Raw genomic sequence first — 15,762 nt, 5'->3', positions numbered from 1 at the left:
TTGGAGACCATGCAAAAATCCTGAGCCTTACCAAATCTTCCACCCTTGATTTTAACATCCACTTACAGATTCCTGCCTAAATCAAATTTTAATGTTTGCTTTCTGAACCAACTTGAAAATCTTTTTAATAGGCAATTTAAGCCCACTCATATTTGATATGACTGGTATGCTTGGTCCTATCTCAGTCACTACTGTGTAATTACTGTGTGTGTTAGGTAATATTTATTGTGTTCCTTTGTTATTTTTTACATTTTCTTTTGGTATTTAGCAAGGTTTGTAATTTTATTCTACAGTTACTTTTGCATTTATAGTTTTGTTAGTGTCCTTGGACCTCTTTTTTTCCCACCCACCCCCACCCTGTTTACTCTTTCTTAAGCTTTCAGTGTCTGCCAGTTTTAAATGGTCTCCTTTATTCCCCACCCACACAACAGTCTGTGATCTTATTCTGCTCTCCCTTTCTCTCCCCCTTCTAAAAAGTGGTATTATTTGTACTTTGTCTAACATGTAACATTACATACTACTCTGCTGTTCCCGTGTTCCCACCCTTGTATTTAGGCCTTAATTTAATATAGTAAGTGCTCACAGTTCTTTTGCCGAAGCTGCCCGTGATCTCTTGGTTGGGTTAAGCTCATCCTCTAATGAACTCCTCAATGGCTCATGGATATAATACCCAATGAGTTCCTGAATATTCAAACTTGTCTTTTTATAGCTGTCATAATTAAGAAACACTTGCCTGGCTATCAAATCCTTGGCTGGTACTTTCTTGAATTTCTGGAAATTGCTACTCTGTTGGCAGGATTTGCATGTTGTTCTTCTGAAATATGATGCCAACCCAATTCATCTTTTTTTTCAGATGAGGTCTTGCTCTGTCATCCAGGCTGGAATGCAGTGGTGTGCTGGCTCACTGCAGCTTTGAAATCCCTGGCTCAAGCAATTCTCTTACCTCAGCCTCCTGAATAGTTAGGACCACAGGCACATTCCACCACAACTGATAACTGATTTTTTATTTTTTTGTAGAGACATGGTCTCAATATGTTGCCCAAACTGGTCTCAAACTCCTGGGTTCAAGGGATCCTCCTGCCTCAGCCTCTCAAAATGCTGGAATTACAGGCATGAGCCACTGTGACTGGCCTCAATTCATCTTTAATAGTTTACTAAAATACATCTCAGAGTTTATCATTCCAGGTCCTTCAAAAGGTAGACTTGACATTTCCCTTATTCCCAGAAACTTTCTCTGAATTACAGTTTATCTATTAGTTCTGGTCCACTGTTTTATTTTTCTTCTTCACAGACTCCAATTATGTTGGACACCCTTTGCTGGTCTTCTCTTTCAATTTTTTTTTTCTGAGATCCTTTTTACTTTTACAAAAATCTCATTTCCATTCAATGTCCTTCATTAGATCTTCTTTCTATTTTCTCTTGAGCATTTTTTAATTTATTCTTCACTTCTAAGATATTTTTGTCTTTTTCTTCTGTTTCTTTCCTGAATTTGATGAATTCCCACTTCATTTCTTACAGCATTGTTTTTGTTTTTTAAATCTATTTCTTTGCTTAAGTTTTTGGATACCAGGTTTTGTTCTGCTCATTTGAGAATATTTAATTCAGTCAGAGTACCATGTTGATAATTCCAGAGTGACAACAGTTTCATATTCTAGATCTTACTGCTCCCCATATATTATGCAAAATGTAATTCTGCACATCTTTTTATTTACTTATTTGAGACAGGATCTCACCACGTTGCCCAGGCTGGTCTCAAACTCCTAAGCTCAGGCAATCCTCTGCCTTGACCTCCCGAAGTGCTAGGATTACAGGCGTGAGCCACCATGCCCAGCCTGCACATCCTTTTACACTATAATTTTCAGAATTCAGGATAGAATATAAAGAATTCTTACATCCTTAGTTCTCCAATCAAAAACAATACGGGTTATTCCAATTTTAGAGCTAATGCAAATAATCCAGGCACAGTGCAATCAAAAGGTATATGCAAGGAATGGTATTGCCTATAAATCCTTTTTTTAACCATTTATGTGTACATATGAATTATTCATCAATTAAAATCTACTTAATTTTGAATAGAGAAATGAGTGTTAAAACACCATACTTCAATTTTTACATGAACAAAAAAAGAAAGTAGATCCACCACTGAGAATTATTTCCTGATTTTGATGTACTAAGCAATTTTGGTACTACTGATATACAGGAACATGATGTTTTCCTTAAAAATATATTCAACTGTCTTTCCCGAATATATACTTTAACATTACTACTTTTTAACTAGGAAAAGGCCTATATACTTTTACCTAAGCTGTCTACTTTTTTTTTCATTGAAACTTTTGAGATAATTGTAAATTCATATGCAATCGTAAGAAATAACATACAGAGACCTCTTGTACACTTCCCCCAGTTTACTGGAAACATTTTGCAAAACTATGGCATATCATAACCATGATATTGGCATTCATACACCTATCTAATTCAGATTTTCCCAGCTTTAGTGCACTCATTTGCCTGTGTATATGTGTCTATTAAGTTCCATACAATTCTATCACCTGTAGAGGTTCATATATTCAACACCCGTCAAAAGACTGAACAGTTCCTATGCAAGGATAACTTGTGCCACCCTCTTATAGCCACAACCACCTGCTTCTCCTCTCCCTGCTCCCACCAAATCCGTAAGACCTGGTAATGGTTAATCTGTCCCACAGTTCTAAAAGGTTGTCATATCAAAAGTATTACATAAATGGAATCATAAAGTATGTAATAACCTTTTGAGATTGGCTTTTTTCACTCGGAATAATTCCCTGGATATTCTTTCAAGTTTTTGTGTTTATTAATAGTTTGTTCCTTTTTATTGCTAAGTACTATTTCATGGTTTGTATGAACCACAGTTTGTTAAACCATTCACTTACTGAAGCAGATATGGGCTGATTCCAGTTTTGAATATTAAAAACAAAGATGGAATAAATATTTGTGCACAGGTTTTCATGTAAACATAAATTTCAATTTTTCTGGGATAAATGACCAATAGTTCAATTGCTAGAGTTTATGGTAACTGCACGTGTCATTTTATAAGAAACTACCCATAACATTTCACATTCCCACCAGCAGTGTATGTGTGATACAGTTTCTCCACATAGTCACCAGATTTCCATGCTGTCATTATTTGTAGCCATCTGGCAGGTAAAGAATAATATATTCATTATGGTTTGAATTTGCATTTCCCTAATAGCCAGCAATGTTGAGTATCTTTTCTGTATTTGACATTTGTATATCCTCTTTAATGAAATGTTATGTCTTTTGCCAATTGTCTAGATGAATTTTTCTAAACTGATGTCTTGAGAGTACTTTATATATTCTAGATATGAGTCCTTTGTCAGATAGACAGCTTGCAAATATGTCTGGAGATTCTCTTTATCATATGGGCTTTCAGAGAGTAAATATTTTTAATTTTAATGTTTGCTAATTGTCCCTTTTGTAGACTGTACTTTTGGTAGCAAATCTAAAAACTCTTTGCTTAGCCCAGATCTGGAAGACTTTCTCCTATGTTTTTTCTAAAAGTTACATAGTCTTACATTTTACATTTAAGTTTATGACCCATTTTGAGTTAATTTTTGTATAAAGTCATTTAAGTCAAGGTTCATTTTTGTGATATGGATGTCCAGTTGTTCCATCACCATTTGTTGGAAACACCATTTTTCCTCCATTGACTTGCTTTTGTGTCTCAGTCAATAATTAGGCATATTTGTGTGGATCTATTTCTGGGTTTTCTATTCTACTCCACGGATCTATTTGCCTACCCCTCTACCAATATCACATAGTCTTGATTACTATAGCCATATAATAAGTCTTTTTGGCTAAGTAGTATTCCATTCCAAATCATGTAGACTGGTAACTTCCACTTTATTTTTATTTTTGAAAACTCTTAGCTATTCTAGTTTCTTAGGCTTCCATATACATTTTGGAATAAGCTTGTATATGTCCTCAAAAAATCTTGCTGGACTTTGACAGGAACTGCATTAAGACTATGTAATTATCTTTACTATATTGAATCTTCCAATTAATAAGTACAGTATGTTTCTCCATTTATTCTTTTCAAAGTTTTTTTGACACATAATACTGTAAATATTTATGAAGTACATGTGATACTTGATACATGCATAGAATCAAGTCAAGCTATTTAGGATATCCATCACCTTGAACATTTACCATTTCTTTGTATTGGGAACATTTAAAATCTTCTATTCTAGCTATTTTGAAATACACAATATATTGTTAACTATAGTCACTCTAATCTGCTCTCAAACACTAGAACTTACTGATTCTATCTAACTGTATGTTTGTACCTATTAACCAACCTGTCTTTATCCCCGCCTCTCTCAAACACACTGTTCCCAGCCTCTGGTAACTACCATTCTACTCTCTACCTTCATGAGATCAGCTTTATTTTTAGTTCCCACATGTAAATGAGAACATGTAATATCTGTCTTTCTGGTCCTAGCTTATTTAACATAATCTTTTCAAAGTTTTGTAGTTTTGAACACATAGGTCCAGTACATTTTTTGTTGGATTTCCATCTTTTTTCTTTTTGCAAAATTATAAATGGTATTGTATTTTAAACTTCACTTTCTACATGTTCATTGTTAGTATCTTGAAATACAATTTATTTTTTATGTTATTTTTATCCTGCTACCTTGCTAAACTCACGTATTAGTTCAGGTGTTGTTTTTTTTTTTTTTTTTTTGTACAAGGGATTTTCTACATAGATAATCATATCACCTAAAAATACAGACAATTTTATTTCTTCCTTTAGTAGTGCTTTTCATTTCCTCTTCTTACCTTACTGTGTTGGCTAGGACTTCTAGGACTATGCTGAAAAGGAGTGGTAGGAGCAGACATCCTTGCCTAGACAAGCGTGCCATTCCCTAGGAAGAAAGCAGTCTCTCACAATGAAGTATGATGTTAGCTATAGATATTTTAGATACGTTTTTTAATCAAGTTGAGGAAATTTCCCTCTATTCCTAGTAATCTGAGTTATTATAAGTGAATTTTGAATTTTATTAAGCACCTTTTCTAAATCGATATGATCATATGAATTTTCTTTTTTGGCTCGTTAATATGGAAGATTATACTCATTGATTTTTAAAATACTGACCAGTCTTGAATCCCGGAAATCAATCCTAGTCACAATATATAATTCTTTTTATAAATTGCTTAATTCCATTTGCTAATATTTTGGAAAGAATTTTACCAACTACACATATAAGGGATACTGTTTTTTTTAAGAACTGTCTTGGTTTAATATCAGGTAAGAATAGTGTCACAGGACTATGGGTTTCCTCCTCTTCCTTTCTTTTTTTTTGAAAAGAAATTGTACAGACCTGGTGTTCACTGTTCTTCGAATGTTTGATACAAGTATCCAGTGAAACAATCAAGATTTGGAGATTTCCTTTCAAGAGGTTTTAAATTATAAATGTAATTACCTTAACAGTTACAGGACTATTCAAATTATCTAATTCCTATTGAGTTCTTTTCAAAGAATTGGTTCGTTTTATCTAAGTTGTCAAATTTATATGTGCAGAGTTGTTTGTTGTGATCCCTTTGATATCTGCAAGATCTATAGTTATATCCTTTTCATTCCTGATACTGGAAATTTTTGCCTTCCCTTTTTCTCTGTCAGTCTTGCTATTTGTCAATTTTATTGTCTTTTCAAAGAGCCAGCCCTTTGTTTTGTTGACTTCCTCTACTGTTTTCTCATGTTCAATGTTACTGATTTCTCGGCTTTTCTTTATTATGTCCTTCCTTCCGCTTGCTTTGGGTTTCTTTTGCTCTTCTTTTTTCAGGTTAGGTGGAAGCTTAGATTTCTGATTTGGCCCTTTTCCTGTCTTTTAGTATAAGCATTTAATACTGTGAGTTTCCCTCTCGGTATTGCTTTAGTTGTGCCTCAAAAAAATTCGTTATGTTTTACTTTTCATTAAGTTCAAAATATTTTTAAAATTTCCCTTGAGACTTCCTCTTTGACCCATGGATCATTTAGAAGTGTTATTTCCCAAGTGTTTTGTGATATTCCTGTCTGCTAATCTGATTCCACTGTTGTTGAAAAAAATCACACATTCCATGATTTTAAATTTTTTGAGGTCTTATGGTCCAGAGCATATGGTCTATCCTCGTATATATTTAATGGATACTTGAAAAGGATGTGTATTCTGCTGCTGTTGGGTGAAGCACTTTAGCAATGTTCATTAGATCTGTTGGTTGATGGTGTTGCTGAGTTCTACCTCTTTGCTATTTCTGTCTAGTTGTTCTACCTATCAGTAAGAGAGGGAGGCGTGCTGAAGTCTGCAACTGTAATTGTAGATTTGTCTTTTTCCTTTTAGTTATGACAGTTTTTCCTTCATGTATTTTGGCAGCTGTGTTATTTTCTGCATACACATTTAGGATTGTTGTCTTCTCGGTTGTTTGACACTTTTATTACAATGTAACAGCCCTCTCTGTCTGTGGTAATTTTCTTTGCTCTAAAGTCTTCTTTATCTGACACTAATATGGCCATTCCTGATTTATTTTGGCTTATTGTGTTTGGGGTTTGCTCAGCTACTCAGATCTGTAGGTTTATGCCTTTTGCTAAATTTGGAACATTTTCATCCATTATTTCTTTGTGCCTGCCTTCTTTTTCCTTATTAATCTCCTTTCAGGACTTTAATGACACAAGTGTTACACCTTTGCTCTCCTTCCAGTATTCCAATGACACAGTGCTAAACCTTTTGTTATAGTCCCATAAGTCCTTGAGGATATATATTTTTTTCAGTCTATCTTCTCTCTGCTGTTTAGACTGGGTAATATCTATCATTCTATCTTCAAGTTCACAGATTCGACCTACTGTCTCTTTCATTCAGCTGTTCAGCCTATCCACTGGGTTTTTAATTTTGCTTATTGCAGTTTTCAGTTCCAAATTTTCATTTCTTTGTATCTCTAACTGATTCCCTAAAATTTTCATTGTTTTCAGTGTGCTTAGGACTGCTCACTGAAGTGTTTCTATGATGGCTGCTTTAAAATATTTATCAAATAATTCTAACATCTTTGTCATTTCAGTGTTTATGTCTACTGGTTTTCTTTTTTAACTCAAACTGAGATTTGTGATTTTTTAATTGAAACCTGGACATTTGGGGTGTTATGAGATTCTGGACCATATTTAAACCTTCTAGTTTAAATGCCTCCTTTGACACTGTACCATCTGGGGAAAGGGCTCTGCCATATTAGTGCCAGATGGCATTAGAAGTCCAGGTTTCCCACTTGGCCTATGTGGACATCTGAATGGAGGAAGCTCCTTGTTAGTGCTGCGCAGGGAAAGGAATTCTGGGTATTCAGTAGGCCTCTGCTGATATAACCTTGGCTGTAAAGGGCAGGAGTATCTCAGTACTACACCCCAACACTGACACAAGCAGGAGGGGCTCGCCTCTTTACCCCTGGGAGGTGGTGAAGGAACAGAGAATCTAGGCTCCCCACTCAGCACTGGCAGGCACAAGTTGATGTAAGGCCTTTTCTTTCTGTGGTGTTTGGTTAGAGCACAGCAGTTATGGTCTAAAAGTTTTCTGGCTTGCTAGGCTGTCTTTTTCCTCGTCCTTCAGTTAAAGAGAACAGGGTTTTTCAGTCTGTACCCATTGCTGTTTCCAGGCTGCCAGCTTCTTCAGTTCCAAGCCTGGGATATATTAGGCAAAAAGAAAACCCATGGAACTCACCACCGTGTTATTCCTTGGGTGCTGAGGTCCCTAGTGTGTATGCCTTCTCTCCACCTTTCAGTCTTCTTATGTTTATTTTACATATAATGCTCAAGGTTTTCAGTTGTTTTAGTGGGAGGAATAGGGCAATGTACATCTACTCCATCTTCCTGAAAGCAGAAGTCCCCACTTTTTAAACTTGTTCCCACTATGTCCAACCATACACATTCCTGGAAAAATGAGGGTAGAGTCTGTGGAAGAGATTTTTCTTTAACTGATGCTTACATATTTGGACAAATTTGGACCACTGCTTCACCCAAATGAGTTCTGTGGCTGAGTCACCCATGTAAGAATGTCCAAACCACCTGTTATGTCAGGGTAAGACTTATAATATAAACTTGTGTAAATAGTTGAAATGCTTTTGATTTCACACTTACTAATTTCACAATTTTCCATTCAAAACTTTAAAACAATCATTAAACTATGTTTACTTAGGAAACAAGTCTTTTATATAATCTTATTTCTCCAAAGGCACTGTATGAAATTATGCAGCTAAACCCTGATCAAACTTTGAACACGTTTTTGTCATAATAAACAGGTATTTAAATGTACGTAATGAACAATAGAATAAAAGTATCCTAAAAGAAAATGGCCTAGAACAGTGTCTGCCATAGAGTAGGCCCTAAATAAATGTTGTATGACAAAATACACCAATAAAAAGACAGTGTCTAAAATTTTACTGTTAAATAAAAAAGCACTTCCTTAGATAATGTCAAACATGAGGCTACATTGTTTTTCTTTAATTTATAAATTATGCTTTCATAATTAACAAACAAAAAGTTAATATTTCTAATTTCTATGTATTACTAGAATATACTTAGAACTATCTCCTTATTTAATACATTCTCACATGGGGTTGGCAATAAGCATAGTCAAAGTTACTTTGATCTAGTCAGTGAACATAGAAGGTTCTAACTATCTAATAAGTCATTAAGAGCAAAATTATTTAAAGATTACTACAAGTAATTCTTCAGCTGATATTAATTTTTCAGGATTAATAAAAAATATGTAAAACAACAGGAAATTATAACACATATTTTAGTATTCTCACTCCCTCTCAACATCCCAAGGACACAAATATAAACAAAGTAGTGACATTCTTAAATCACCTTAATCTAATGTAGAGCTTCCCATATTATGTTCCTCAGAATCCTAATGTCTCTTGAGATATTAACAGATGTCCCACAGAGAAAGAAAATGCTAGGTTAAACACATTTAAACAAACTTCTCAACTACAGGAATCACTGGGGCATTTAAAATATAATATGCACTGTGATATTTCCAAAGAGGATTATTGTTATAGTTTCCCAAATCTATTTAATCAAGGACACCTTCCCCAAAATATCTACTAAATCCTTTTACAGACTAGTATTGAACAGAACTCAATCTGAGATATACAGAATGGCAGAAGAGCCTTTCAATATTGATTCCGTACTTGGATGAGTAAAATGAAGATCAGAAATCTAACAAATATCAGTTACAATAACTAAAAATCTATTGAAAAAAGAAATTATTATAATAAAAGGCTTTTTTTGACCTCCCTACTTTACGGGAGCTTATTTTTTAAACTGCAGAAGTCTCCCAGCACTCATTATAAAAATAACCTGTTATCATACTAAAAAAAAACCCATAAAAATTGATTGTGGATATTATAATAAGTTAGATGAGTGCTACTTTCAGTCCTATTTTAATCCTACCTATTATTTGCAAGTTAATTTATTTGACCATAAAGATAAAACAACTCCAGAAATTGGACATTTTAGATGAAGGTTTAAAAAAGAAAAACCCTGGCTGGGCGTGGTAGCTCATGCCTGAAATCCCAGCACTTTGAGAGGCTGAGACAGGAGGATTGCTAGAGGCCAGGAGTTTGAGACCAGCCTGGTCAACACAGCGAGACCCCATCTCTAAAAAAAGAAATAAATATTTAATAAATTTTTTAAAAGAGAGAGAGAAAAAAAAGAAAAACCCTTCAATTTTTAAAAGACCTCACTCTTAATTATCTGAAATTAAACCCATAATATTGTGGCACACTAAACAAAACATACAATAAACAGAATATATAACCATCAGTGTGTACATGTGCGTGCACATGCACGTGCTAGTGTATATGTCTACATCTATATCTTTTTTTGTTTTTTTTGAGACAGAGTCATGCTCAGTTGCCCAGGCTGGAGTGCAGTGGTGCGATCTCAGCTCATTGCAGCCTCTGCCTCCTGGGTTCAAGCAATTCTCCTGCCTCTGCCTCCCGAGTAGCTGGGAATACAGGCATGCACCACAATGCCCAGCTAATTTTTAGTAGAGACGAGGTTTCATCATGTTTGTCAGACTGGTCTCGAACTCCTGTCCTCAAGTGATCTGCCCGCCTCGGCTTTCTAAAGTGCTGGGATTACAGGTGTGAGCCACTATGCCCAGCCTACGTCTATATCTAATATATTAAATAAGACAAAAATACCAGTCCACTAAAAAAGGTAGAATAATAATTTTAAGAGAGTCCAGTTAAAATTCAGGCCAATTTTATATAATCTCAATGAGTGATTTTATGGTACCTCTTTTAACCAGATTTTTGCAATCCATAATTCCAATTCTTTTTAAAGCATGTCAAATTCTTTTTGAAACATACACAGTTAACAAAATACAAAATGGCAAGCAGTGACATATAACCAATTTTAGATGCTGTATGATGATATTTGTGGACTAAGAAGAGTTAGGTTATAGATTTAAATTCAGAAAATAATGAGAAATCACTTACCTCTAACTAAAGTTCTCCGAAGGTAGTATCCTCCTTAGAACCCCTATCTTGGGTAGTTTCACCTGCTGTAATTTCCCTCAAGAGATTCCAGCAAAGTCTAGAAAGTTTTAAGTTCTCTTCCGCAAGCCCTATTAGCGCATGTGTGTTATAAACCTGCTCACATACTGCTTCATAGCTGCAACTTCCAATTCCCACTGAACCACCACCACTACTACCACCCATGTATCATCAGTGGAGGATACTACCTTTGGAGAATTCCATTTAGAAATGTGATATTGTTCACATCCCCAGAAGTATCCTCCAAATCACTCCATTACTTTGTCTATTAATATACTTAAGAGAGTGGTGGCAAATCAGCAGGTGAATAAATAATGACATAAAGATTTAGCTGAGCAATTATATTTGCTGAATACTCAAATATAAGATTTAATACAGCAAAATTTAGCTTCCTCAATATTCAATTAATATGTTAAAAACTAAATTAAATGTATATATGGAAAAATTTTCATAAAAATACTTTAATAAATAAGGTATAAAAAATAGTCCATATCACTTGGGACTACCAAATATTTCCCTAGTATATTTTGTCAGAGAAATGCGAGTATTTAAAAATTAGTTAGGAAATCAGTCATTGAAAGACAAATGTTAGTTTTTCAATGATTTTTTCAGTATGTCATTTCTACTTTGAACTGCCAATTAAAGCAAAATAAGGTTAAAAAATAAAAACCAAAACTAGCCATCCAAACCAAAGCTCATTTAATACACCTAGATGGCCATTTAAAAAAGTAGTACTAAACATCTAAAAAACTTTTCAAATATACTCAGGAAGCCGACTATGAAAAACAGTAGCAGAAAGGAGACTTGATCTTACGCTACCCAGAAAAGGTCTTTTACTTAGATGCTTGCTTTGTATCTCCATTGACTGATTCCATAATTTATTGCTGGTTATTTCCTAATAGCCATATAAAGGTAGGAGAAAAAATCAAAAGGAATCAATCATCCTAGAGGCCAGAGGACTAAACCATACTTGTAGCACTATCTTAGAAGTATAGAAAAGCTTTTAAAAAACTGATTTTTAGCTACAAGCCACCATCAGTTTAATAACAACATAAATAAGACCAAAACATAAAACATAATGAAATTCTATTGTTTAAAGATATCTTATTTAGCTTTGAAAGCTTCCCCTGGCACATGGTAGGTTCAAATAAATGTTTCTGAGCACTTTAATTTTAAATATCAACTTAAGTCTTTCCATTATTTTCCTGTCGTATAAGTAAATACACATATGTATAGATAAAATACAATTAAAAAATTATAAAAAAGCAATTAAGAAATGGATGACATATGGAATGAGAAAATCTTAGCTAATCCTCCAATCAGATACTCAGTATATGAATAATTAAGGTGATTACAGTTTTGATTCTTTGAATTATCTGTGCTACTACAATGTATATTTTTTAAACTAAATATTTAAAGTAGGGATGCTTCTTTTAAAAATATGGACTGTTTGTCATAAAAACCAGAGGTGCTTTTACCAATTTTAAAAGTGTATGGATCAAAACAATCCCCCCAAAACAAAGTACTTTCCAGTGCAAAAAGTGGTCACAATAACAGCATTTATAAAATAGACTGTTTAGAGGTAAAAAAAAAAAAAGATAAAAGTGAAATCATCTAATCACCTATCCAAAAGAATAAAACACTGAACCATGAGGCAGTACATTTGCATTCACTTTCTCTCTTATAATACATGCACTATTAGGACTCACTGAAGGGTCAAAAATCTTCTAGATCTTGCTAATTTAAATGCAGGAATGACTAACAACCCAAGAAGGTGTATCTAGGATGATACTTACCTTACAAGAGATTATACCACTGTGCTATTATGTATTCTGTGTAAGGATACACAAGCAGTCAGGTGAAAGGTACACACCACACTAGCAAATGCTTGGCTGGACCCATAAGGTCGGATGACCAATGGAATATCAAGATATGTGTCGATTCGCCAGCCCTCATAACCACATTCCAGACATCTCACGTAGTCCTTCAGCTTGCCTTGATATAGCTCATTTATAAGATCAGCCTAAAAATAAAATATTTACATTTTTAAGTGTTCCTTAAAAATAACCTTTAAAACATGTAACATTCTACACTTTTTAGAATGGTTTACAAAAGGATATTGATATTTACAGCTAAAATCTTTGAAAACATTAATATTTATCTATATTTATTATTATATATTATGTAATATTTAAGATTTATCTAAAATTTTATAGAAAAAATCAAAACAACACAAATAACCTAAAATCAATAAAATTAGATTAACACTAATTTGAGTCAGTGTGCAAAAATTAACGATTTCAATATTCATCATGAGAAAACCGAACGATTAATGTTTTGATGAAATCAGTTACCAATTAAGCCTCAAATTATCTTTACATTAAGATGAGAGTAAATCCTAACCTATCACTTTAAGCATGTTAATAATTATACAGCTAAACAATTGGTTGAGTTTTTATAACTTACATATGTATATCACTTCTCACAATAATATATTCTGATGTATAAATCATATCCTCTAGCTCAAGATGCAAATCAAACTTTTTAGCTTTCAGTAATATACATAACACAATTTTATAGAGAAATATTACACCATAATCTTTTTAAAATGTATGGAAATTCAAAAAAAATCTTAAAATCCACCTCTCTCAAAATATCCTCACCTAAAAGAATGGATCTCTCACCTAGTCCCCAAACTTAGTTAACTAGGGCTTTTCTGACTCAAAGGCGGTAGGTAACTCCCTAAGTAAGGACCAAAGAGTTTTGTACCAAAACTTGGGAACTCAGTAGGAATGCCCCAGCTGATCTTAATGGAAGTGCTGACCCACAGAAAGGGATGTAACCAGGAAAAAGAGTAACTTCAGATCTATGAAGAAGAAACAGCCCCCAATACCATCTACATAGTTACTAAAACACAGCCCCATAAGACTATGAGAGAAACTAGATCACTAAATGAACTTAAAAATTTTTTCATAATCTCCTAAGTAAGAACAGGCATGAGGATAAGTGTACTACATCTTGCCTCTTTCATAAACTTACATTTCTTCAAACAAATAGGATTTATAAGCCTTCAAACTGGATTGACCGTCACTGTCTACACTAAAACCACTTATTTAATGAAGCCTTCTTCATTCATCAGCGTCAGTCATATGTGATTGTCTTCTTCACCTAGGACGGCCTTTTGAAGTGGTTCAAACCAGTGTTTTTCAAATACTGAATAGCAAATCACCATAAGAAAATAATTTACACTGCAACCCAGTGCATATAACTGTAACAAGAGCTTTATAAAATAATACTTACTCTTATGTGATGTTCTCTTATGCTCTATTCTATTCCATTTTTTGAAAATGCTGTTGTAGGCCCAATAAACTGATTTTATAACCCGTGAATAGATTGTAATCTACATTTGGAAAAACTGGTCCAAGCCATCACAGTAGTTCCAATCAGATATCAGACCCTTCTAGCTACCTTATATACTCTTCCCCTTTTATCCCTGTGACCTTCATTTACTATACCCAGTATAAACCCTCCCATGTATTGAGCCCCATCCCATTCAGCCTTACTCCTCATCCCAACATCTAATGTTCTTTCCACTTCTAACCTGCTCCTCTTTCCATTACATAAGAATCGGGTTAGATTAATGAGGATCCTAAATGTCAAATACATATGACTATATTTCATTGGTCAAAATAAAGGTAATGCTTCATGACTATACTTGTGTTACAGATTACAAAACATATAATTTACCTAATTATCTGAAAATGCTGTTCAAAAATCATCCCCAAAACACATATATACAGTTTTTAAATGTATAATTTTCAGAGCTAAAAGAGAACTTCCAGGTTATACAGCCCAATTTCCTTAAAGATGAGAAAACTGAGGTCTAGGGTGGTTTAATGATGGTATTTATAACTCAGTTAATGGCTAAATGAGAACTCAGTACTTTCAATTTCCCATTGGGTACTTTAACCATGAGACTAATGCCCAAGTTTTAAAACATTCCAACAGAATAAAAGTCATTTAGGGTAACAAGTGATTTATTAGGAAACAGTCCCCTTGATTTGAGAGATATAAATTACCTGTTCTGTTTGCTTCCATTTCTGTTCCAAAGCATCAAACATGACTCTGCATAGTTCTTGTACATCATGCTGCTGCCAAGCTGTTTTAAGATAAAATTCAATTAGAAATAGCTATAAACTTTATGTAATGAAACAATCTGTTGTTTAAAAGCAAATAGACAGAAATATTGAAGTCTACCTTAAATAATGCCAAATTTAAAAAAGAACATAAGAATATACATGACAGTCATGAAAAGGAAATCACACGCCAGAAAATAGATTGCAGCATTCTATAAATAATATATGCTTTATGGTGCTACAATATTTGTCATGTTTGTTATTTTTCATTGTAGAGTTATGAAATGTGTTAGAAAATATATGACAACAAACTTGCAATGAAAGGTTTAAGATAAAGGTAATTATGTGTAATGTGTTTGTAATATTATTGTCTTCTAGAATTTGTTTGAATATTAGAACGCTTATCATTACAAGAGAATTAGTACCCTCACTACTATCCCATCCAAAGCTCCTTGTAACATCTGTGGTTTCAATTGCTCTCTTTTTGCTGGTTTGTAACAAAACAAAAAGCCTTTGAAGTTGGTATGGAATACTTGTCACTGGATCTTCTTCAGATTCTTCAAATTCCCACCTATTAAAATAAAATGTTAATAAAGTATTTATAAAATGATTTTATTATTTAAAAGCATAATTAATATCAAAATCATAATAATGTAAGATTTTAATCCTGGAAGCTATACAGAGTTTGAATGCTAATTGAAACTAATAATATCTAATGAAACATTAGTGTTTCCCTAATTCATAAATTCAGAAGAACTTTAGACTTTAACAAGAAAAGGCATAACAAGGCATAACAAGGCAAAAGTGCTCAAGAAAAGAAGGCAAAGCTCATTTAACTGTGGAACCTGAATCTGACCATAACCTCTGTCCTAATTATTAATTCACAAAAATACAGGAAACAGAAGAATACTATTACGTGAGATACTACGGCATACAACCATCAAAACCCAAACTGTGGAAAACTACAGGATAGATGACATCAGTTTTCTTTCTATTTTTTGCAGGGAATAAATTGCAAGGATGAAAAAAGATGAAAGAGGATTATAAA

The 15,762-nt window shown here is 33.7% G+C and overlaps 1 protein-coding gene across 18 annotated transcripts in view; it reads right to left on the bottom strand.

Annotated features, from left to right (window-relative positions):
• The window catches only part of USP47 (ubiquitin specific peptidase 47), a 119,916-nt gene that overhangs the window by 43,888 nt on the left and 60,266 nt on the right, over positions 1–15,762 (bottom strand). For 15 of the 18 annotated variants that reach the window (NM_001372095.1, NM_001372093.1, NM_001372094.1 and 12 more), the window contains 3 exons: positions 15,140–15,285; positions 14,658–14,737; positions 12,452–12,601 (listed from right to left, as the gene is read on the bottom strand). In NM_001372095.1, coding sequence (NP_001359024.1) covers positions 12,452–12,601; positions 14,658–14,737; positions 15,140–15,285 — 376 coding nt within the window. Of the gene's footprint in view, positions 1–7,733; positions 8,861–8,881; positions 12,375–12,451; positions 12,602–14,657; positions 14,738–15,139; positions 15,286–15,762 lie in introns of those variants that run through there. The other 3 variants (NM_001372098.1, XM_011520196.2, XM_017017954.2) reach the window with 3 other exon arrangements.

The sequence above is a fragment of the Homo sapiens genome, chromosome 11, assembly GCF_000001405.40.
Source record: "Homo sapiens chromosome 11, GRCh38.p14 Primary Assembly".
Lineage (NCBI taxonomy): Eukaryota > Metazoa > Chordata > Mammalia > Primates > Hominidae > Homo > Homo sapiens.
Note: the sequence above shows the minus strand (reverse complement) of the source record. Positions and strands in the feature narration are given on the sequence as shown.